Source organism: Homo sapiens, chromosome 7, assembly GCF_000001405.40.
Source record: "Homo sapiens chromosome 7, GRCh38.p14 Primary Assembly".
Classification (NCBI taxonomy): Eukaryota; Metazoa; Chordata; class Mammalia; order Primates; family Hominidae; genus Homo; species Homo sapiens.
In genome coordinates this window covers 22,050,135-22,075,782 of record NC_000007.14, presented here as the reverse complement: position 1 = coordinate 22,075,782, position 25,648 = coordinate 22,050,135, and the positions used below count along the sequence as shown (strand labels likewise).

General features: G+C 40.5%; 3 annotated features.

Moving 5' to 3' along the window:
• Positions 17,363-17,507: an enhancer, noted in NCBI's record as "145 bp 7:22097966 sequence used in MPRA reporter constructs". NCBI's record gives its function as "activates a minimal TATA-containing promoter with rs7794991 allelic activity by MPRAs in UACC903 melanoma cells {active_cell/tissue: UACC903}" and the evidence as "EXISTENCE:reporter gene assay evidence [ECO:0000049][PMID:36423637]".
• Position 17,435: a transcriptional cis regulatory region, noted in NCBI's record as "rs7794991 or 7:22097966 MPRA-significant variant associated with a GWAS melanoma risk locus at 7p15.3". NCBI's record gives its function as "allelic transcriptional activity by MPRAs in UACC903 melanoma cells {active_cell/tissue: UACC903}" and the evidence as "EXISTENCE:reporter gene assay evidence [ECO:0000049][PMID:36423637]".
• Positions 22,844-24,039: an enhancer, noted in NCBI's record as "VISTA enhancer hs807". NCBI's record gives its function as "enhancer in: forebrain[8/9]" and the evidence as "EXISTENCE:transgenic organism evidence [ECO:0001131][PMID:17130149]".

Genomic DNA, 25,648 nt, shown 5'->3' with positions numbered 1-25,648 from the left:
GGAAAATGTACAGTAATGTGGAGGGGTTGGGGGAGAAGCGAAACATTTGTCAGCTGAGGGTTTCTGGGATCCTTCACTCATGTTTAAAACAATGGCCACCCTCCAGAAGCCAGCCACTTCATCATTATTATAGTGTTGAAGCCTAGTTGCATGAAATATTCGGTCCCTTAAATGGAAAACTTCTTTTTAAAAAATCACCTGAAATAACTGTCAGGGAGGAAAAGTGAAGGCTCGGGTAGCAGCCTCATAGGTGGCTTTCTCCTCTCACTTCCTTGTTTTATAGATTTTATAAAGTTCTTTGAATTAGAAATAATTTTTAAAACAAATAGGCAACCTACAAGGTTAAAAATTAAGATAAAATTGGCATTATTTTTGTTAAAGTGTCCTCAACAGCCATGTAGAAATAAGAATTTCCTGGCCTTACAAAATAGATTCCTAAATTTCTGTGTTGATGGCACAGGATTTGAGATGAGCTATTAAAAGAGAGTGAGGAAAACACCCTGGAAATGGGCAGAAACCACAGGGGCTACTTCTGAACATCCGTGAAAGAGAAGCAACTGCTGGATAAGGAGAAATGATCAGATTTCATCCTCTTTAAACTGTCTGTTCATTTGCCCCTGAAAACAGCTCTTGCAGCTGTCCCCACACCCTTCCCAGCATCCCCAGCTCATCTGAGTCCTTGGTCAGATGGCTTCCTTCACACCCTCCTGCCCCAGCTGTGTCTTTCAAAAACACTTGGATGCTGCAGCCAAGCTGTTTTTTTTTTTAACTTTCAGTTTTTATTGAGAGGTAAATTAGGAGTTGGGAACAATCCCAACTTAACTTTCCTAAACACTGTCACTAAGTGGCCACGGGTAATTGCTTGAAAGCTGCAGCCGCCAGATGACAAGTCTGCACTGAACAACCTGGGGTGGTCGGCAAACCTCAAAAGGGTCAGCCATTAGGCGCCACTCCACCGCCATACCAAACCTCCTGGATCTGTGAAATTTGGATCAGAACTACCTGAACAGCTTCTCTATCGGCTTTTCTGGGCTAAAGGGACAAGAATTGTAATTGTTGAAAGCTAATGATGATGATGATGTCTAACAGAAAATCACCTGCCTATGTACACATCAGGTTGGATCAGGTGCTGGGGACTGTTAACCTAGTGCCGATGACTTTTATAGTATCTCAGTGCCATAGGCAGGGGCATTTCAGCTCTTTAAATTCCTGCAGGGCATATGAAGGCAGTGTGACATATTGAAAGGAAATTGAACCCATTTTTAGGTCTGCCTCTATTGCCTACCTGCAAGCAGTGCAAAGGTCAGGAAGTCACTCCATCTCTGGGAGCCTCCCTATACCCATCTGTAAAAGTGGGGGAAGATATAGCAACATATGCACTTCAAAGGGTAAAGACATCAAAGTCAATAATGTTGACAGAGGATTTTGAGATTTCTATATAAATTTAAGTAGAACATATTATACACATGAAAGGTTCTCTATTACTAATGCCTGGAGTTACGGTCTTGATCTCCAGAACCTGCTGAAGCAGCCATATCTGCTCTTGCCAAAGGCTTTTCAGCAGGTCAGGAGCTATGCTGTGGAATTCCTTGGATCAATGAGATTCTTTCAGTTAAAGTAGAGTCAGTACTAGTATTTGCAAAGTCCTTTAAGACTTTGAAAGAACTTTGGAGGTCTCTGATTTGCCACAAGTTTGGCCTGAATCTCAACCAGCCTCATACTCAAGCATCATGATTGATAAGCATGTGTTGATAATGCGTGAGTGATGGAATGAATGAACATACATGAATGGACAGATAATCTTAGCCAGCCTGCAGGGTTGGCTATCAGCCCTCTTTGTTTTTACTCCATAATTATAATGAAGTAAATGACAGGAGAGCATCACTAATCTATGGAAGTGTTGTCATTTCCTACTCTAAGGACAGATTTTCCTTGTTTGTTTGTTCCTATTAGATTGTTATTAAGCCTAATTGTAGTTTTCTGTTCTATCTTGCTTACTTAACTTTAAACCTTCCAAGCAAAAGGGCATCTGTTTCCTCATTCTTACTTGGATCAGTTGCTGGAGACTGTTCACTTAGTGCCAGTGACTTTTAGAGTATCTCAGTGCCATAGGCAGGGGCATTTCAGCTCCTTAAATTCCTGCAGGGCATATGAAGGCAGTGTGGCATATTGAAAGGAAATTGAACCCAGTTTCAGTTCTGCCTCTATTGCCTACCTGCAAACAGTGCAAAGGAAGTTGCTGTATCTCTGGGAGCCTCAATATACCCATCTCTAAAAGGGAGAAGATATAGCAATGTATGCACTTCAAAGGGTAGTTAAATACATCAAAGTCAATAATGCTGAACATTCCTTCATGGGATGAAATAAGAAAGTAATTGCCAGCAATAGGGAAACAGACCACAAAGCTCTCAGGCAGGGAAAACTGAGGAATTAGAAAACAAGGAGACCTTGTTTATTTTTGTATTTATTTGTCTTTTCGAATTATAAAAGTAATACATGTTACATAAAATCTGTACAAAAAGTAAAGTAAAAGAGACATAAATCACTGTTAACATATGGGCACTTCCCTTCCAGTTTTTTTTTCCCCCACAATGCCTTTGTCATCGCTCAAGTTAGTTGTTTATTCATTCAGTAAATAATTTTGGTGTGGCACCTATGTAACAGGCACCATGCTGGGTGGGCACTTATATGGAAGACACCGGTGAACAGGACTGTTTGACCCAATGTTGTATTACTTTCTTTTTTTCTTTTTTCTTTTTTTGAGATGGAGTCTCGCTCTGTCGCCCAGGCTGGAGTGCAGTGGCATGATCTCAGCTCACTGCAAGCTCTGCCTCCTGGGTTCATGCCATTCTCCTGCCTCAGCCTCCCGAGTAGCTGGGACTACAGGTGCCCGCCACCACACCTGGCTAATTTTTTGTATTTTTAGTAGAGATGGGGTTTCATTTGTTAGCCAGGATGGTCTCGATCTCCTGACCTCGTGATCTGCCCACCTCGGCCTCCCAAAGTGCTGAGATTATAGGTGTGAGCCACCATGCCCAGCCTGTATTACTTTCTTCAGGGCTTCTCCCAGAGTATCATGAGCTCTGTCTGCAAAGTTGTGCTCAATTATCTTCCTATGTGGATTGTTTACTAAGAATTGCATCCCTCTCTGAGGCACATGAAAGTCTCTGTTCATTTGTTCCTTATGATAAAGCTATAATCATCTTAATACATCCAGTCCATGATGGATAAGACCCCTGAATTCTGACAATTACCATTGCCTTGGCCCAGCTGGCTCATCTTTTTCTGTGGAAAAGACAGAGAGACAGAGACAGGGAGGGAGGGAGGGAAAAGGCATTGTTTTTATCCTTGCTCACATAACGTGGAATTGTTCTCTACAGTATTCCCTCAGTCCGAGTCTCAGAATTTTATAGGCTTTCCTATTAGAATATTCCTGCAAATGGTGAATTAAAGAAGAGAATGAAAGAGAAGTATTTTCTCTCTAAATTATTCATGTCTAAGAATATGGGTACAGATCAGACTGCAACACCATTAAAAATGACTCTCCCTAGGATATAGCAAATACCTCCACCCCCAGTCAAAAGTCAATTAACTTCCCACTGACTTAAGTGGCCTCCCCAGCCACAGAAATGGCTCTCCTTCATTTTCGTTTGTCCCCAGGCCTCCCTCCAGCCCTTGAATGAAATGGTCTAAACATTTGTACACAATCAAGCTCTGAGTACAGTGTTCACAGCAGGGAGGGCTGAACTGAGGAGAGGCATGAGATGCGCAACGACCATCTCAATGCCAGGAATCCATCCTGGGAAATTTCTGAAAGTTCCCCAGTTTTTTAGACAATAGTATTTTCTAAGTCCCCTTTTGCAGTACAAAGGCACCTTTTGAGATCAGATTTTCAAAAAGTTATATTCAGTGTTTTCATATTACAGATGTCAATGGACACATGTATTGAGATGAAACTTTCCAGTATGTGAATGATTTGCTGCTCAAATTTTAAAGAGATTTATTGTCTTCTGTCACTCATTTTAGTTCCGGATAGCAATTTAGTAATGCTTATAAGACAAGTCTAAAAAAAAAAAAGACAAGTCTTACTCCCTGAGAAGCAGTTATTGGAAATTAAAAATATACATACATGTGTATGTATGTATATATATATACACACACACACACACATACATGTGTGTATATATATATACACACATACGTGTGTGTGTATATATATACACACACACACACAATTGACCCTTGAACAATGCAGAGGTTAGGGGTGCCCACTTACACACAATTTAAAATCCATGTATAACTTTTGACTCCCTGAAAGCTAATAGCCTACTATTGACTGAAAGCCTTACCAATATCATAAACAGTCAACACATATTTTGTATGTTATACATATTGTAGATTGTATTCTTAAAATAAGCTAGAGAAAAAGTTAAGAATATCACAAGGAAGATAAAATGTCATTACTATTTATTAAGTAGATTGTCATAAAAGTTTTCATTGTCATCTTCCTGTTGAGTAGGTTGAGGAAGAGGAAGAAAAAGAGAAGGGATTGGTCTTGCTGTCTCAGGCATGGGAGAGGCAGACAAAAATCTACATATAAGTGGACCCTCATGGTTCAAACCCCTGTTGTTTAAGGATCAACTGTATGTGTATACATACATTATAGATAGATAGGTAGATAGATCGATACATAGATAGACACATATATATACTATGTGTCTATATACACATACATATACTCTGTGTAAAAGTGTACAATTTTACGTATGTGTAATATATGTAATATATACGTAGCATATATTACACATACACATAATTGTATGCTTTTTTCTTTTTGATAAAATATAATAGATTCTTGATATTTCAAGTTTTTAATGAAAAATCTCCTAAGGCAATGGAATGGCTCCCTGTGCAAGTCCATGGGCCATCTACATCAGAATCACCTGGGAAGATTTTTTTCTTTAATGAAGATTCAGGGTTTTTCGTTTCTAGAGACTGACTTAGGGAGGTCTGGAATCTGTATTTTAAACATCAGCTCATTTTCATGCCCAGCTTGATTTGAGAACCATGATTTAATGAAATATATTTACCCAATCATGAAAAAAAAAAGCAAAACCATATGTCAGACTTTAGTTTTTTAAAATAATAGTGACAATGGCTACCACTGAGTTACTGTTATGTTCCCGGCCCTGTGCTAGGCATTTCCGTTATATTATCTTGAATTAAATGCTTGTTGAGAACCTATTATTGCTTTGATTTGAGGTCATCTGACCTAAGTCAAGAGTTTTTCTCTGGCTTTAAGAGAATGTTTGGTTTTTAAATTAGACCATATCTGAACAGGCTATTAAAGTGTGCCTTGCTCTCTTTACTTTGGGTTTCTTTTGGTAAGGTGCACAAAGAAGAGTTGTGATAGACTGAAAGACTCTCAAATATGTAGCCAATAAATAAAACTGAAAATGATAGAAAGTACATTGTTAAGACACAAAAGAGTGGAGTACAGTTTTGATAGGTGAGCTGATAGTCTATCTTTAGTAGTATTATAGATTCCTTCTGTGGAATCTATAATTCTGTATCTGTCTAGTAAATGCCTTACTAGACAGATATAGAAATATATTTAGATAGATCAATCCCTTCTCTTTTCCTATAGAGATCTATAAATTTATGTATGAAAATATATTTTTCCTTGTTCATTTCATTAATGTAACTATGTAACTGTGCTGATTTTGGTGATTAGAACTGTTATTATTTTTATATCTAAGGTAGAGTCATTTGCAAGTTGGTTTATTCTTAATTATAAGCTATATCCCAAAGACCAATTTCAGGGCATGGTCTTTAACTTTTTGAGAATAACCCAGTTTGCTAAAGGTGACATGAGCTGTTACTGGAAGTAGAATTAGCATATAAGTCCATCCTTACACTGTCTGAATCACCTTGTTGGAACCAATGTGATTTTTTGGTCTAAGACATGAATGCTACCCTTCATCCTGACTGTCATGTCAAAGCATTTGAGAATAGATAGAAAAAACTGCCATACCCAGTTTGCCCTTTCAACCCCAATAATGCAGTATAGAAACTATTTACTTTTAAAAGGTTTAGCAAGCTTTGGTTTTTAGAATGTCTGATCTCAGCACCTTTGGGTTGTAAAAGAATGGATTTTCAGTCTGTGAGATTCTAAAGGCTCTTAACATCACCCATATGGTCTGCGTTGTTTTGAGTACATCTTCTATGAATGTTGCTCAAAGGGAGAACATCCAAATTCATGGGTCCTGGGCAATTTCTCCCCAGTGAAATAGAGAACTGGGATCTGTTCAAAAGCTTCAAAGGTTTTCAGCCATTATAATCATGGCTAAATGTTAAGCATGAGGAAATCAGAACAATCTTCCTCTTATCTATTCAGACAGCTAAACTAATGGTCACAAAGTTCTTTTCTGATAATGAAGAAGAACTGTCTCTTGGACAGTGGGTAGTAATTCACTCAACAGACACTGATTGCATGGCTACCATGTGCCAGCAACTGGTCTAGAGGCTTGGGCCATGTCAAGGAATAAAAAGACAAAGATCCTTTTTTTTTTTTTATAGACGGCGTCCAAGCTCTGCCTCCTGGGTTCACGCCATTCTCCTGCCTCAGCCTCCCGAGTAGCTGGAGCTACAGGCGCCTGCCACCTTGCCCACCTAATTTTTTGCATATTTAGTAGAGATGGGATTTCACTGTGTTAGCCAGGAAGGTCTCGATCTCCTGACCTCATGATCCACTCGCCTCGGCCTCCCCAAGTGCTGGGATTACAGGCGTGAGCCACCGCACCCGGCCGACAAAGATCCTTTGTCTCTAGAGCTTTTATACTAAAAGGTTTTATGTATTAAACCCTATCGCATTCTTGGCTATTTGGAAATATCAATGGAATGTAAATATTTCATTGGTCTATAAGTTGCAAACCAATAACCAGAATTGTTAGTATAAACTTTCTTCCCTTACCTCAAAGAACTCAGATACATTGAATGTATTCCGAGCTACATGTGAAATGTTTTGTTGTTCATGGGATGTCGACCCCTAAGGGTTGTACTCACTTTGTACTCACTTTGCCTTACAAAGAGTATTCAAAGAGACCAGTGGTTAGTAATAGCTAAGGAGATTCTAAAACTGACTCTATCATTCCTTTCTCTTACACTAGAAAACCAAATTTTTTGGTTTTTTGGTTTTTTGTCGGCAAAACTGTATGTGGTGTGATTACTATTGCACTGTCTGACTCCCACACTCATGTTATTCTTCTAAAATGGAAAGTTCCTCTCCCACCTCTATCCACCCCCATAAATCCTCCCTATCCACTCAATTCAACTTATCCTTCCCTCAAGGTTCCCATCTCATCCATGATAACAACCCATTCTATGCTAACCCTTGTTCATTTCCCCTTCTCTGAATCCATCACACATTTAGAGTAGTCAATGATAGCCATCCATTTATTTATTCAACATTTATTTATTGGCTACCCTGATCTGCTCCAGGCACTCCAAAATTAGATTTAATCATATATTGTCTTGTGGGGTTTAACGATAATTGTGATATGTTCATCTTGTCTTTTCAACAAAATGTGCGTTTTCCAATGTGACAAACCATGTCTGAGGCCACCATTAGCCACACAGTGCTCTGTGTGAGTTGGACAAGGAGCCTCTTCTGTGTGTGTGGCATGGAGAGAGAACTCCCTGCTTACCCCTCACCTGTGCACCTTCTGTCTGCCCTGGAACACCGAAACAACCGTATGAGAGAGCCCAAGCATTGAACACTGCCGCAGCAAAGGGAAGGCACCTCAAAGCTTGACAACTAACTCATTTTGTTTAAGATGTAGATAGTCCTCAGTTATCATTAATAACAGAATTAATCTTCCTAGCTTTGGATTAGCCAGGCTCTCAATTTCAATTCCTATATTACAAGTCCGATGTAAGGACACAGCATCGAGTCTTTGTTAAGCACTCAGTTCTCATTGGGGTGATAACAAAATTTTCCTTCCAAACCTGGACACTTGTGAGAGGAGGTGCACACCAAGACACCAAGAATTAATGGGGACTGTCACAGGCAAACTGGGATGTGTGTATCCTAATGTCTGCAGTAGTAAAATAAGGAGTACCTCTCGCTGCCCACTGTTTAAGAAGGTATCAGCTCTAGTCTCTGACGATACAGGGCAAAGGAGGACAACCTGCCTCCTACATTAGGACAGGATAGGAGATCATCAAGGCCTGTAGCCCAGTGTTCATTCAGTTTTAGAGTCGAGTGGGCTGTGATGAGTCTAACATGTAGTCCTAAATAGTCATCATACTCTCTACTACCCTGGCCCTTTTGGGTAAGTACTAGGACTTTCCGCCCCAGTAAGAGGCTGCCCCCCGCCACCTTGCAAATCCTCCCTTGTGATCCCATTTTCAGTCCTGATCACTACCATCCACCATGGTCATTTTAACAGCTCAACACCCACAGAGGTGTGGAGATATAACTCTCCAGAGAAAGAACTTCAGAGCAAAAGTCCTCTTTAGCCAATGAAGCAGCCCTTGGTATTCACTTGATAAATACTAATTGGATATCTGACTGTGAGAGAAAAACCCAGCTTCTTTCCATCCCATACTGGAGGTGGAAAGGGACTGGAACTACAGAGATCCTGTGATTTCTCTCTCCAAGGCAAAGGAAGAAGCTCCACCTTAAGATGTCATGAAAGAAGCTTGGAAGAAAGTCAGGATTATCTATTTCTTAGGAGCTTCTTTAATCTCAAGATCAAGAGATTTCACTCAATTCCAGCTTCCTTCTAAGAAAGTTTCACTCTCTAAGTCTTTCAAACGTGGAGGACGTCTTTCAGGAACTTTGAATCTATTTAAGGACATGCCAAAATATTTCTGACCCAGAACCTTTTTAGACTAGGAAACTCACATGCAATACACATACACAAGGTTCTCTATATTTATGCGTATATGTGTATCTCCTCTCTATACAAATAGACAAGCACCTTTTATCTTGATAAAGAAAGCACGTTCTATTCATAGGAAAATGGTTGGGTCAGGCTTTCTGGGCTTTTTGTTTGTGCGCCACAGGGTGCCTAATAGCACTGCAGGGGCAGGCATCCAGTGTCACGCCAACCACCTACAGCATGCGTGGTGCCAGAGGCAGCGATGAGAGCACTAATTAGAGGGTGTCAGGAAACAGGAGAGAAGGAAGGGACACACACACACACAAAAGCATGAAACTTTCCATGAAGATGGAAAGTAAAGCGGGATGGGGTTCTCCTTTTTATTTTTGGTGGGAATTCTCTGCTTTTGGACTGTACTTCCTTCAAAAGAGTACCTTCTCATTTTACAGTTTACAGCAGAGCTGGGTTTGTAGAAATTGCTGGATGATCTTTTGAACGTTGGCTACCTGCTTAAAATAAACATTGTTTCAATCTGCTTTTATCTACATATGCATCACAGTGACACCTTCTACTCTATAGCAGCCATTGCTGACAGAACGTATATTCAAGAGTCTTCATGAAGATTCCCCGGTGTTGTAAAATTGGTCCTATGGCCTAGCACTGACTGTCTTCCTAGGGACCATTTGTAGCTTTGTGTTTTCATAGACGTTACATTTTTATTTAAGTGGTCCAAGCCCCCTCACCCTGGATGGTTATGTTGATGAACAAAGTAGATTCTACCTGTTATAAAGGTATCATTACTAATGCTACTAATAAATTGCAATGACTTCCAGCATCTAAAGATTTGGATGGTTCCAGTTATACACTTGACATTATTTTCCTGGATCTGATATTGCCTATTTTCCCCTGCAAGCAGTTGTCATCTTTTCTAGTTGAGCCTTTTACAACCCTATTTGAATATAAAAATCATTTAGGAATGTTAAAAAAAAATTACCAGTGCCTAAGTCTCACTCTAGACCAGTGAAATCAGAGCCTGTGGAGAGGATGTCAGAGAATTGGTTTCTTTACAAGTTATCCAGATAATTCCAGTATTCAGCGGGGGCCGAGAACTACTAGCTGTCCTCATCACGTCTGTGAGTGGCCTGCTTGGCCCCACTATCTCCTCCTTTGCACAAAATGCCACCCACTGCTTAATCAGCCTCTTTATGATTCTTAATCAGATCACCAGGGCCAGGACCAGGGGGACCTGAATGAGACAAAATTTAATGAGACACTCACTCTCTTGCCTCATCCTAGTCCTGGCCTGCAAACCAACTGACCTTCACAGAACCTTGCACTTGATTGTCCTTGAACTAAAAGCATTTACCTCCTAATTTATCTCCCGCCATCTCCATTGAAACCTGCCTTATTTCCTCTACCTGATTTGACAATCCTGTGCAGCAAATGTCATTTTAAGGAAAAACACCTTCTATGGGTAGAGCTGTTTTACTTCCACGATGATTAAATGATATAATTTACTTTGGATGGCTGTTACAGACCCTGGATATTGTAACAGTTGTCAGTTTTCTTTCCTTTAGACCCTCATTTCCGATTGCCCACTGCCTTCCCCTCCACCCAGAGGTCCCACCCCTACCTCAGATGAACATGTCTGAAACTCACCTCATTAGCCTTCCCTCCAGACGTCCTGCTTCTAAATCCTCCTCTCCCCCATTCCCTATCCTGGTGACTCACTCTTCTTTCTACCCCACTACACCAGACCAGAATTCTAGAAGACATTCTGTTATGCATCCAACCAATCCAACTCCAACACCTGCTAATGCTACCCTCTCAACATTCTTCTGAGCTGTTTCCATAAGTAATACCACCCATTTCCTGAACCTACCATGTTCTCTCATGCCCCTTTGCAAATGTTACATTCTTGCCCAGTGAGTTCTTTCAACGCTTGTCAGACAAGTGCATAGTCTTTCTGACCTAGTTAATGGCCACCTCCCATGGGAAACCGTCTTTGAACCCTCTAGTCAATGATCTCTCCAGTTCTGAGTCCCCATTGCCCCAAGTGGATGCCTCCAGTAGAGCTTTTATCATATTTACTGTAATTTTCTGTGATATGACTCTCTCTTCTCCCTGAAACCCTGGATTCCTTGGAGACAAGAGCCACTTTTCATTTATCTCTGTAGCCCCAGTCTTTAGCCCAGTTAATGACAGCTAACAAATTTACAGTGGATGTTTCTTAAGTGGGAGAATAGTTTAGTGGCACTAAAGAGTAAGTACCCTTTAACAGTGAGTTAAACTACGTGAAATCAAACACTTCAGGACCACTATTTGCTAGTTGCATGAATCTAGGCAAGTTATTTTAACTCTCTCTGCTATAGTTTTTTTTAACCTATAAATTGATATAATAATAGGACCTACCTCATGGGATTATTGTGAACATTAAATGAGCTAATAACTTTAAAGTACTTTCCAATCCTGAGATTTAAGAACTCTATAAAAATACTCCCTCTCTCCCCATCCCCAGCAAATGTACATATGAAGTTATGGACGATGAGAGCCTTTTTGAGATCACTTGCAGCACCTAACTCAATGTAGTGCTTAAGATCAACTATTTCATAGGACAGTTGTGAGGATGAATGTAGTACTACCTGTAAAGAACTTAGAACAGTGCCTGATACATTACATAGTAAGTGCTCAAGAAACAACAGCTATTCTTATCATCATTATTGCCACTTCCCTCCCTAATTCCTTCAATAGCTCTCCAATGTTAACTTAATTAAGTCCAAATTCTGCAGCCCAAGAATATGACGATATTCCTGCTTCTCATTTATAACCAGCATTTACTACTTTCACAAATGCTGTTCCCTTGACCCAGTATTCTTTTCCAATCCCACTCAGTTTTTCACTTGTTAGAATCCAGTCATCCTTTAAGGCATGTCTCAGATATTAACTTCTTAATAAAACTTGTTTCTTGAAGTTTGAAATTATGTATAAACTTTCTTGTCCTGAATGCCCTGTGAACTTCCTTTGTCTGTATTATTATTATTTTTTACTACGACTAACATTTATTGAGCACATAGTATGTACCAGGACCCTGATATGCACAAAATACACACATCATATCATTTAACTGAAGTAAGTAGGAGGTTGTAGTAGCCCATTTTCACATTGCTGTAAAGAACTGCCTGAGACTGGCTAATTTATAAAGGAAAGAGGTTTAATTGACTTGTAGTTCTGCGTGGCTGGGGAGGCCTCAGGAAACTTACAGTCATGGCAGAAGACGAAGAGGAAGCAAGGCACATCTTACATGCTGGCAGGAGAGAGAGAGAGAGAGCAAGCAGGGAACTGCCAAACACTTTTAAACCATCAGATTTCACGAGAACCCACTCACTATCACGAGAACAGCATAGGGGAAACTGCCCCCATGATCCAGTCACCTCCTACCCAGGTCCCTCCCTTGACACATGGGGATTATAATTCAAGATGAGATTTGGGTGGGGACACAGAGCCAAACCATATCAGAGGTTTATGTGGAAAAGTATTCAGGCAGAGTTGGAAAGGAGGTACAGTGGGTGGGGTATAGCTGTGTTTCTGCCTGTATCTGGCCTTGGGTTTATCCAGCTTTATGGAAAGCATATTCTTTGCTGGTTAGCAGAATAGGACCATTTGTTTTTGTCTTAAGTGACAGGGATTGTGCTTTTTTAATCTTACACCTCTATTATAAAAATAAGACATTTTACAACTTTTTTTCAAATCTGTATCTTAGTTAATAAATATGAATTTTATTTAATCTTAACATTAGAAAGAACATAGTAGGTTTTCTCTTTGATGATCCAGATGTCTCCTCTGTCAATAGGAAGATACACTATCAGTGCTCTACACAACACAAAAGTACAAAAAGACGTTTTTCTCTTGATGTGAAAAATCAGCTATGATATCCATTGCATTTGTTTTTATTTTAATACACTCCTGGTCAGTACAAAGCATGTTGCCTTTTCCAGCAATGAATCATTTGCATTTATACGCTCAAAGCATAATGTTGAGCCTGCTGATTTTTAGACCCCACTAGCGGACTAATTTGGGAATCAGAGCATCTCCATAAATTGTCTCAGGAGTTTGACTCTGCTACCTGCCAAAAATGGAGAATATATTATCCTTGGAATAATTTTTAATATACATTAGCTTATGTGGAATATTAAGCATGTGGATATGTAGTGCATTGATAGAACGTTTGTGGAGAGCCCGGTGTGTTGATATCCGCTCTCACATTTAGTTAGCACTGCTGTGTGCTCTCCTGAAATCAAGGAGCTTCCTTACTCTCTGGGTCTAGTTGGGTTTGCCCAGTGGGAAGCACCAATAAGAGAATGGAGGGAGAGTGGAGAGTAATTGAAGTATTTAGTTCCTGGCCCCTCCCTGGCACAGTGCCTTGGTCATGGCTCCCATCAGGCTACCTTTTCCACACAGCTCCCTCTGGCAGTAAACCCCTTCCTCCCCTTGCTGGTTGAAGCCAAGGGGTGGTAACAGTTCTAGGGTCACTAGTCTTGTGGTGTCCTTTACTTTGATGATATCTTTGTAAACAGTCCCTGTATGAAACTTCTTCCAATTTCCAAATTTGGGTCTGCTACCTGCTCCCTAGATACTGGCTGAGAAACCACCATTATCATATCTATATCTCTTAAAGTAACTTAGTGTCCAAGTTCAGGCAGGCAATAAAAAGACATACAGGTGCAGCCAGGAGGTCTTTCTAAATCTAAAATGAGTTCTAACTTGAGGTCCTACCAAAGCTCTCGAGGAAAGGCCCTGAATGAGGGAGGAATTTCTCATATGGTTTTCATATAAGACCACTCATGCATATATCACTGTTTCTTCTTAGAATCGGATCCAGAGCAAAAATGCCAGTGAATTCCAGAGATGACTTGTCAACTTAAATCCATGTTTACTTGCCAGGCTGGAAATTCATTGCAGCAGGCTTTGAACAGAAAATATTTGTCTTAAGTAAAAACTTGGAAGCTAGCAATGCATGATTCACAAATGGAAAGTGTCATTTTTTTAAATTGGGGAAGATGGCTGTAAAGTGGAAGATTCTGTTATATCCTTAATTATGTGGCTGGTTCTTCATAAACTCTTACTCTAATCTGCATAGATACAAAAATTACACAGCAATCTGGAAGATTTAAAAAAAGAAAGAATGAGAGAAAAGAAAAAAATGGCAGTAATTAAATGACAAAACTATATTCAAATAAAATTAAGGGTTTGGCTTAAAGCCATGGGGGGCATCTCCCTTTGTTTCCTTCTCTGTAGCATTTAAAGGAGAATGAAACAAAAAGAGCATTCTGGAAGTGTCTGAGCACTGACTTGTAGCCCTGGCCTGAAGAGAGGTTCATTGGCCCAAAGTGCCCTCTGAGTCCAGCACACAGTTTTACTGCTTTGGCTTCATCATTGTGCTTCATGTCAAAGCCCCAAAGAAGAGGACCAAAATCCAGAAAGAAGGAAGGATCTTGAGTTTAGTTGTTAGGTTTATCCATCATATCAAGGGCTTAAAAGATCCATTCTTACATAAAATGGAAGTATTTATAATATTAATGAAAAAAGAGGAGTATTTTAGATACAAAGAAAAGCACCCATATGCCCAACTATATTTAATATATATATGAACATTTTGCTTTGTTTTTTAAAGGAATACAGTAGTTTTGGATATAGTCGAAGTCCCTAGAGTATTCCTTCCTCTTCCCGTTCCTCATACTCTCTCCAGAGTCACTACAGTACGGAATCTGATGCTCACCTTTTCTATCATTTAATGCTTTGACTACAAAGGTATATATTTAGAAATAGTATGCATAGTCATCATTTTTTTTTTTACTTTTAAGTCTAGATAAATTGTGTTATACTGCATTGGGTTTTCCAGAATTATCCATGTTGATACATTGTAACTTTTAGATCACTCATTTTAGGTGCTGGGTACTATTCCATTATATGAGTATACACCATGGTTTATTTCTCCATTTACTATTGACAAATATTTAGAATGTATCTATTTTTTTCAATGGTTTGACGAACATCTTGGTAAACATCTTCTTATATACACCTGCAAAAGATTCTCTAGGATTCTTACTTTGGAAAAAAATGTTGGGCCGTGTGTCATGTACACTAGCAATGTCCCTGCATGTTGATATATTGTCTCCAAAGGGGCTGAACAATTTGCATTCTTACCAGAAGGCTCTGAGAATATTCATTCCCCCATCAGCCTTGTTTATATTTTATATGATCAAACTTTAAGGTTTTGCTAAGCCGGTGGTGGTTTTATTTGCATTTCCCTGACTGCTCATGAGGCTGAGTTTCTTCTCAAGGGTTTATTGGCTGTTCAGGTTTTCTCTTTTTCAATGATCCTTTCATGGAGATTATTGCTCCTTTTTCTTTTGTATTGTTTGTCTTTCATAACTGATTTGTATGGCATGTTTATGCCGGGTTCTCACCTTTTGTCAGTTATTAACATAATTTGTCTCAGGGAAATTCCAGGTTCTGTCTACTAAGCAGCAAATATTGCAGATGCCTGTTGCAATTGACACATTATTCCAGGGTTGACTCTAGGTTTTGTCAAAAGGAAGAAGCAAGCCTGTTATGATATATATTCTCAGATGAATATGATAGCAGAGCAAGTCACCATCCTTTGTGGATTTAGGGCCTGAGTTATTAGGGAGAAAGATCCTGGGAACACACCAAAAGCAGGGAATTAAGGATCTGTTGGAGAATAAGTCAAAGCTCATACAAGAGAGGCCAGCCTGGAAATTTACAGAAGGACAGGAGTAAAGGGTTTCCTAGAAAATGTGTTAAAAGACGGGTTAGTGGTAAGTGCTCATGACTCTAATGGTCTCTGTGACCTAGAGGAAGAGGCATCCCAATTCCCCACTGTCAGTCCAGTGTCACAGCATGCCGAGGTGGGTGGGCAGCAGGGAGAAAAACCAAAAGGGATTTGAGAAGGAAAAGCTTGCAGTTAGCTGGTATTCCTCACTATCAGAGCCACTAATAACTTTGCAGTGATTAGTCAGTGATTTTGCCAGTGAGGATGGCCAAAACCCAGCCAGGCTGTCTCCACTGCAATGTAATATCCATGATGGCACCAGAGGTCAGATCTGTCACCAAATTGTAATTTAACTTCAGACAGTCAAGCTCTATTTTATGCTGACTCCAACCTAGAACTAGCAAATAACAAAACTAGATGGTTTGCATTCTACCTCCTTGGCCTTCCCTTCCTCCCTGCCTGGTAGAGGTTGTGTAACTGACAAAATGACCCTCACTGAGGTGGAGGCAGGTACAAGCACATCCTTGGCATGAATGGCTGGACACAGAGTAAGAGGATTGATGGTAACATAGTAGCCAGACTGACCCTATCTTCTGCTCTGGATTATAGCAACCTGTGTGTTATTCAAGAAGGTAAGTAAAGGCTGATATGGTTTGGCTGTGTCCCCACCCAAATCTCATCTTGAATTGTAGTTCCCATAATCCCCACATGTCATGGGAGGGACCCAGTGGGAGGTAATTGAATCATGGGGGCAGTTTCCCCCATGCTGTTCTCATGATCGTGAGTGAGTTTTCGCAACATCTGATGGTTTTATAAGGGGCTTCCCCACTGTTGCTTGGCACTTCTTCCTGCTGCCATGTAAAGAAGGACATATTTGCTTCCCCTTCCGCCATGATTGTAAGTTTCCTGAGGCCTCCCCAGCCATGCTGAACTGTGAGTCAATTAAACTTTTTTCCTTTATAAATTACCCAGTCTCAGGTATTTTATTAGCAGCTGATAATAGACTAATACAAGGCTGAAAAGCAATTAAACTTAGAAATCCCCCAAATCGAACATCTCTTTGGTTTCTAACTATTTCAGATCCAAATAAATAAAACTAATTGAAAAACTTGTTTCACTCGGGTGGTGAAACACTGTCTCATAAATCACCAAGTGAGAAAACTGAATCAACCCCAGCGCCTTGGGCACAATTAGCTGTATTAGAGAAGAAATTAAGAAGCACTCCTACCCTACTGCTTAAGCTAAGCACAGCCTTTCCCTGTAAAGCCAGACATCAATCTTTGTTGCTGTTGTTTGTTGTCTTCTTGCTAGCACGTGTGAGAGTTGGTGTTCTCACCTGAATGTAGACTGCAAAGCAATGAAATATAATGTATAGCAGACATAGTAAGGCTTGCTGTAAGCATATAGATAAGTATTCTAATAAATAAACAAACTAGTCCTGCAGTATTGATTCATTCCAAAGCCTAATTTCCTTTTGTTTTGTTTCATTCACCAAAGTCTATATCCTCTAAATCTACCTTCATGATCCATCAGAACCAATTCTACATGTCCTCAAAGCAGATTTGGAAAACAAGCAAAAGCAGATCAGAAACTCCTAGATTTCTTTTTGGCAGTTATCAGTGGTTATTACCACAGAGCCATGCAATGTTGTCAGAGACTTTAAAAAATAATAATAAGGGACCGGGCGTGGTGGCTCACGCCTGTAATCCCAGCACTCTGGGAGGCCGAGGCGGGCGAATCACGAGGTCAGGAGATCAAGACCATACTGGCTAATAGAGTGAAACCCCGTCTCTACTAAAAATGCAAAAAAATTAGCCGGGCGTGGTGGCGGGTGCCTGTAGTCCCAGCTACTCGGGAGGCTGAGGCAGGAGAATGGTGTGAACCCAGGAGGCAGAGTTTGCAGTGAACCGAGATCACGCCACTGCACTCCAGCCTGGGCGACTGAAGACTCCTTGAGTCTGAAGGAGTCTTCTTCAGACTGAAGAAGACTCCTTCTCAAAATAATAATAGTAAGAAGAAGGAGAAGAGGAAGAAGAAGGAAGAATCAAATCAGTCTGGTGTCACAGATGGCCAGGGAGTGAATTAACATGTTAGAGGATGTCCCTTGCCTTTTCCAGGATTTAGGAATATCAGACAAACAAAATCTTGAGTTAACATGAAATTTCAAACAAAGTCTAGCCCACCTTTGACATTCATCTTTACAATTCTATTAAAAGGTTTTTAAAGCAAGAGTAGGTTATTGGGTTTCCAGTCATAAATGACAATCATCATTCCTAAATATCTTTTCTAAGTTTATCATCTGATTGTGAAGTCTCTGGAATTTCTCCTTCATTGCAATTTTAAGGAAATTTACTTTTAAACAGGGCTATCCTCCAAATTAAGTGATAGCCCATTGAAAATTCTCTATATCCATTTAATTAGGAACCCAACTTTCTGTTTCCAATTTATTTTTGCTTCTAAGCTTAAAAAAAAAATTTTTTTTTTGAGATAGAGTCTCACTCGGTTGCCCAGGCTGGAGTGCAATGGCACGATATCGGCTCACTGCAACCTCCACCTCCAAGGTTCAAGCGATTTTCCTGCCTCAGCCTCCCGAGTAGCTGGGACTACAGCATGCACCACCACACCCAGTTAATTTTTGTATTTTTTGTGGAGACAGGGTTTTACCATGTTGGTCAGGCTGGTCTCGAACTCCTGACCTCAGGTGATGCACCCGCCTCAGCCTCCCAAAGTGCTGGGATTATAGGCATGAGTCACTGCGCCCAGCCAAAAAGTTGTACTTTAAAATTAAATTTCATCTAAAATTCCCTGATCTTGTTTCCAGTCAAATCTCTATATCCTTTTCATCTGTGTACCTGGAAAATATTTCTCCTCAAAAAAGTGATTTTACCTCTTTCTCCACAGTCGTATGAGGGCCCTTATCCCCTTTGATAAACTACTGAAGATGTGAAGGAGGCTGAGGAACATCTCATTACTGTATGGGAGAAAAAAGTGGGACCTGTTGGTTAGGTAGCATAGGAGAAGTCTCCTTCCCATATTCCTCTTTCCTGGCGTGGCCCTCCAGCCAGGCTGCATGTTAGATTCTCCTGGGAACTCTGAAAGATGAATAATGCTTAAGACCCACCCTACACTAATTAAATCAAGATCTCAAAGCAATGTCCCCAGATCAGCAGCAGCAGCAGCATCACCTGGGAATTTGATAGAAATGCACGTTCTCACCCCCCACCCCCTAAGACCTGCTGAATCAGAAACTCCAAGGCTGGGCCCAGTAACCTATGTTTTAATCAGCACTTCCAGTGATTCTGGTCACATTCCAGCGTGAGAGGAAATTCCCTTGAGGTTGATATTTTATAAGTTCCCTAGATGACTCTGCTGTGAAACCTGGGTTGAGAACATTTAGAGTTTTCTTCTCTTCCTATTTATTTGCTTCTGTTTGATTTCAGTGAAGAAAAGACCAACTGCCTATTTCATTTACAGTTATTTAGCTCAAACAGCTGGAGTTGAGAGAGTTCTGGCTTTCTATACTATGGGTCTAAAAATCTCAGCCTAAAATGTGCCTGGGAGAGTCTATCTCCGGGACCTGCCCTTTGGACAGAAATGAAACCTCATCCCAGAATACTAAGAAGTATTGCAAGATCCTTGAAGAAATGAAGAAACATTATTTTAATTACTAGAATACTAGTCATCTTTTTTATATTCATAATGTTCAAAATCTCAAGACTTTTCAGGTTTGTTTTGTTTTCAGGGGATCTGAGTGACTTTCTGATTGCTAGTCACTTAATAAAATCTCAGGCCTGATAGCACTGAACTTGGTTTGATTGATAGAAATCCTCACAGCTTTAAATAGGAAGAGTCCAGGAAACCATTTCCTCCTCTTTTTTTTGGAGACGGAGTCTCGCTCTGTCGCCCAGGCTGGAGTGCTGTGGCGCCATCTCGGCTCACTGCAAGCTCCGCCTCCCGGGTTCACGCCATTCTCCTGCCTCAGCCTCCCGAGTAGCTGGGACTACAGGCGCCTGCCACTACGCCCGGCTAATTTTTTTTTTGTGTTTTTAGTAGAGATGGGGTTTCACCTTGTTAGCCAGGATTGTCTCGATTTCCTGACCTCGTGATCGGCCCGTCTCGGCCTCCCAAAGTGCTGAGATTACAGGCGTGAGCCACCGCGCCCGGCCCCATTTCCTCCTCTTAACTGCAGTTTCTCAAAATGTTCATCTTCTGCCTCCTCCTTCTTCCTTTTTTCCATTAACTCGCACCATACTCCATTCTTCTCCTTTTATTAGCAAGTTTTCTGCTTCTCTGTAAGATAATAAATCGCTCTTACTAGAGCCACAATCTTCTTTCCAAAATCCTTGGGACCAGATGTTTTTTCAATTCATACCTATTTCCATTTCTAGGGAATAATGCATTGTTCATATTGTATATAGAGAGGTCTGGAGAAAAGGTAGAGATATTCAGATGATGTGGAATAGAGGCTATGCATAGCTTTATGATGGGTAAGGTTAGGTTTGCCATCAAATCACTTAAGAAACATTTGCAGGCTTTCAGAGCTTTTTGCGTTTCAGCATTCTGAATATGAGACTGTGGATGGTGTTATATCCTTGAACTCAAGGGTAAGCCAGCACCAGCAGCATTGAAAAGTCACAGAATCCTGTAACGAGCTTAACATCTTGATGATGTTAAATTTAGATTGTTGACATTTAAAGGGAAGAACTTGTGAATACGTAGCTTTGAGTGCTTAGCGCCTAGACGGTGTGATGAAGGCAGCCTGGCTTAAAACATGATTTTCTATGTGATGACAGTCTGGGATGGTCATGTTACTCCTTAAGATGGACTACTAAATAATCACGCTGCATCTCTCACCTATTTTTAACTACAATACTGTCCAGGTGGCTCAAATTATAAACATTCTTTAAAAAAATAAAGGAATGAATATGTTTACAATACTACAGTCTGGAGGACTTTTCAAACATAATGAAACCCCCAAAAGTCATAGAGTTAAGAGTTGTTAAATTGCACAAACATCAAACATTTCTTTAGAGCAAACATTACTATGGAAGTGTCAAAGTGTCAACAAGTATTTGCAAGATATACTGGATAAACATCTTGGATAAACATGCCTTAAAGAATGATTTTATAAATCAAAAAGTAAAAGACCACCAGCCTAACTGAAAAATAGGCAGATAAGCAAGCCACAGACAAAAAGAATTACAAATTTCTTTGAAACATGAAGAGATTCTCCACCTTATTTTTAGTTTAATAAGATTAAATGTGAAAAACAATCCCCTGTCAAATTGCTAAGGATTAAGCCATTTGGTAATTCTGTTTTTAGAAATTCACCCTACAATTATACTCACATAAATGAATGAAGAGGTACCTGCAAGGATTTTCACTGCAGTGTTATTTTCAATAGATTAAGAATTAGAAACAATCTAATTGTCCTTCAGTAGAAAGATTGATTGAATAAAATGCATCCACATGCCAAAATTTTCTGTTGATGTTAAAACAAATGAAATTAATTTGCTTGTGCTGACACAAAAAGGTGTCCACTGTGTCTTGATCAGTGAAGAAAACCAGTTGCAGAACAAGATATGGAGTATGATTACACCTCTGTGTAGGCTGGTATCAACATAGAAAATGAGATAATGCACACCACACTTAGAACAGTGGTTACCCCTGGTGAAAGTAAGCATAGAGGGAGGGAGTGTTTTATACAATTTGATATACTGTTTGATTTATTTATAATAAGCATGTATTAATTCAGTAATATATTTTGGAAAACTTTAAAAATCTATGCACCCTTCTTGCAAGTCAAAGACAGCTTTGAGTCAATCTTATTTTGGTAGACTTACAGTGGGGCATAGGTGGAGGTATGGTTGAAGGGATCGTATTTCATCATTTTGTAGGAACTTCTTATTTGCAGTGGACGCCTTACTGTCCATTTGCAAGAATGCCTTGTTGTATCAGCATTTGTTGAGAATCTTAGTTAGCTATTTCGAGACAATCCCCAATGGGATCTCAGACTAAAGATATTAGCCTCATACTAAAGGAACTTCATGGCATTCAAAAATTTTCTTGACTGAGGGACATTCTTCCTTTCGCTCCTTATAAATACATTGACTGTTAACCAGTGCGTCAGGGGCCAGAAAGGTGCTATGGACACTAATGTAGTCAGCAAGTGTCCAGGAAGGTCCAAGTGCAAGCCCAGCCCTGGGTGATGCCAGAGCCCGGGCCCACAGACATCCTGCTTTGTTGCCTTTTGTAGCTGTGCAGTATATATGTATCATGTGGGTTCCAGTCAAGCCGGACTGTTCAGGTTCACTTCTGGAAGCTTTTACCAGCTGCCTAAGAGAACATGATGAGTAAGTTTGAAGCTGAAATCAGGATGACCAGAGACAGGAAAAATTGGTGCCAGATGTGAGACCCTGTTTTGTTTTGTTCTTTTTTTTTTTTTTTTTTTAGATTGAGTTTTGCTCTTGTGGCCCAGGCTGGAGTGCAATGGCACAATCTCGGCTCACTACAACCTCCGCCTCCCGGGTTCAAGCGATTCTCCTGCCTCAGTATCCGAGTAGCTGGGATTACAGGCATGTGCCACCACGCCTGGCTAATTTTTGTATTTTTAGTAGAGACGGAGTTTCACCATGTTGGTCAGGCTGGTCTTGAACTCCTGAGCTCAGGTGATCCACCCGCCTCAGCCTCCCAAAATGCTGGGATTACAGGTGTGAGCCACCGTGCCTGGCCTAGTTTTGTTCTTGATGGTGTGGAAAGAAAAGAGCTGATGCGGCCCTCATAGTTCCAAGCTGTCCTCCCACAACCCCACGTCATTGCTACAAAAGGCTCAGAACATACTTTCAACCAAAAGCGGTTCATCTCCCTATCAGCCAGGAACTCAGGCAAAAGAGAAACACTGGGGTTGATGTGAGTGAAACCTGCTGGAGGCCTCAGTCCCCAGAAAGCAGCCCCTCTCCGTATCCCAGCCAGCTTAGCCTGAGATGAGCTAGCCAGAGGCCTGAAGGCAAAAGTTTGGGACTACAAAGACCTCGACATCACCCTCTCTCATTTTACCTTTTTTTTTGTTGTTTTTCAAGCTAATCTAACGCATTTTAAGCTTTAGCACGCAAGTGGGGTTTCTATTAGCAGCCAAGTCTGCACTGTTCACAAAATAATTAAAGAACCAAAAGGGGATCTACTGTGAAAATAAAAGCCATGAAGCTTTTTATCACTGTGATTTGCATCACTAACTTCCTAGCAGTCCATCTGATTTACAATGACGTCTTCATGACTCCAAATTTAGAGCATTTATTTGGGAACTTTGCTTCAGTCTCTTAACAGCTACCTCCTGACAAGGCACATTGAAATGTATGCTGTATGTTTTGGGTTTGCTAATCCAACAGTCATTTCTGAGATCCATGCAAATGAAAAACATACCAATAAGACACGAAACCCTTAATTACTCTAATGTATGTACCGAGGCTCTCCTCCCAGCTCCTCTCTCCCTTCCTCCCTCCACCCCAACCTTTCTTAACTCCTCCGGGCACAATCCACTAGCTGAAGCATCCAGCCCATCGCAGTTCACTTAAACGGCTGCAGGAAATTTGTTTTACAAGGCTGGTTTTAACTGAACTACCTGCTGTGCACCACATTGCTACTGTTTGTGAAATGAATGATGGGAAAGGCAAGTCTGTGATTTCATTTGTTCAGACCGATTACTCACACGTTGCACACGGTATCATTTGCTTGTCACTTAATGACTGACCAGCCTGCCTGAATCATTAGTGCTGCAGTGCAGTGAAAAGAAGACCTCACGGCATAATGAGGAGCTGAAGGAAGTGGAGTGCTGTTTTACCTAAAAGAAATGGTGCGCAGAAATCCAGCACAGCTGCAGGTGTTCCGATGACAATGTGGGAAGCAGTTAGCTTCCAATTTAGCAGAAAATTAAGAGCGAAAAAACTGTTATTTGTGAGAGAAGATACTCATGGCAAGCAATCATCCTCGCTCTGCATCCACAAGATGAGCATTCAGCTGTCTTTGTCGTGACTTAAAACAATTGGTATCTTGGGCTGCATTCAACACCAGATTGGTGCTTATTATCTGCGGTTTATTCTTTCTTGGAATATTTTGTTCCCCCCCCTCCTCTATTTTATGGTTAATTTGCTTGCTTGAATGTAAAGCCATTTAAGCTGAAAAATCTGGATTGTGGCTGATCATTGTGCCAGGGCTCTGAGCTGTATGATACAAGATAATTGGCAATTTTCAAATTCATAATCTATTGTGTTTCACTCTCTTCCCCCCTCCCTCTTCGTCCCTTCTGCTAGTTTTTCTACCCCGTTCTTTGGCATAGTCTTCGAAACTGGCCACAGAGGGAAGGTGAGAGCACGCAAATTCCTCCAGTCGAGACCCCAAACTCCCAAGATGTCTCTTTGGGGAGATGGCAAAGCTCTGTGATGTGAATCCACATACCTCCAGGGAAGGCAGTCACAAAACAAAACACACACACACACACACACACACACACACACACACACAATGTTTTCCCATGTTAAGATTTCATTCCATTTGGAACCAACACTCAAAGTCATGTTAGTAGGATAACAAAAAGATTTTTACTTTATTTGAGGTTTTGGTTTGAGGCAGGCAAGAGAAACCTGATATTCTATAAACCAACTGACATGTTCCCATTTGGTTGTGGTCCAGTGGATAGCTCAAATATAGCACATTATATTCCTATTACCCCTTGCTATGCTAATCAGGGTGATGATAGAGAAAGATGCCCATATCCATGCTGACCAATACCATTTTCTACCTAAAACAAGTCTAGCCCATTTACTCCTAATAGTGTGATCTCTTCTTGTTTTATTCTTTTCTGTTTTTCTGATAGGTTATCAGAGTTCACACATTTCAGTCAAGTAATTTGGGACCTGCCACATTTCTCTCAGATATCTTTAGAGATGAAGTAGTGCGCTCCTGTTATTCTACCTGAACCTGAACGCAGAATGATGGTAGTACTCTATGTACAATTTCTCAGTGGAATTTGCAGGGGTGATAGCAATATGTTAAGCAGACCAGAGAGTTGTCAATAGCGATCCTGTTGCCTTAGCTCAACAGAATAGGCAGAGATTCTCTCTCATTAAGAGGGTTCAATTTTCAATGAAATTTTCTGTTCTTGCAAATGGCCAGGCCTCATTTCCTTGAAAGCAGGAAAGTAATGGCCTGGTTCACTTTTCTTCGGCTTATTGATTCCAATGTATTTATTTTTCCATTCTGTCACTCTATTATGTCTATGGACACAGCTGCTAATAACATCAGTTAAAACTGTAAAACATCATGTTTCCCATTTTTGCAATAATTTTCCACTTGAATTGTATTTTTCATGTACATTTCGGAAATTCACAGAAAGAAAACAAAAGAGAAAGAAAGCACAAGTATGGTGACCAATCGTAGGCAAAACAAGCAACAAATTAGCAGACAGAGGAGAAAAACGAGCAGAGAGGGGATAGAAGGGTTTCCACCTGCAGATCCTATTTTATGTTCTGTTTTTATCTTTCATGACTGTGTATTTCATGTTACTCCCCAACTCAGATACTCAAATTCCCTTTCACCGTAGCCGTATTTATTTTTCAAAATACTGGCAGGCCGAAATTTCCAACTGATGCGCTGCTTTCTGTGGTATAACTTGGATTTCCAAGTACACCCCATCCCATGTGGGTTTCATTTTACTACTTCCTCACGCGGATATTCTGCAGTCACCAGCTGGCCTGAGAAAACACTCAGGCACACTCTATGTTTGTGTCCACTAATAGTCACTCCGTCTTCGGTTCTGCCAATTTGGTGCATAATATTTTCATTTTCTCCATATTCATTTCCAATACTGCTGTCAGGTTCCAGCGTCTCCTTCATTAAGCTTCTCCTCTGGTTTCGTAGCAATCAGCAATGAAGGATCTTTTGTGAGGCCGGGGGAGAATTGATCTTGTTCTCCCAC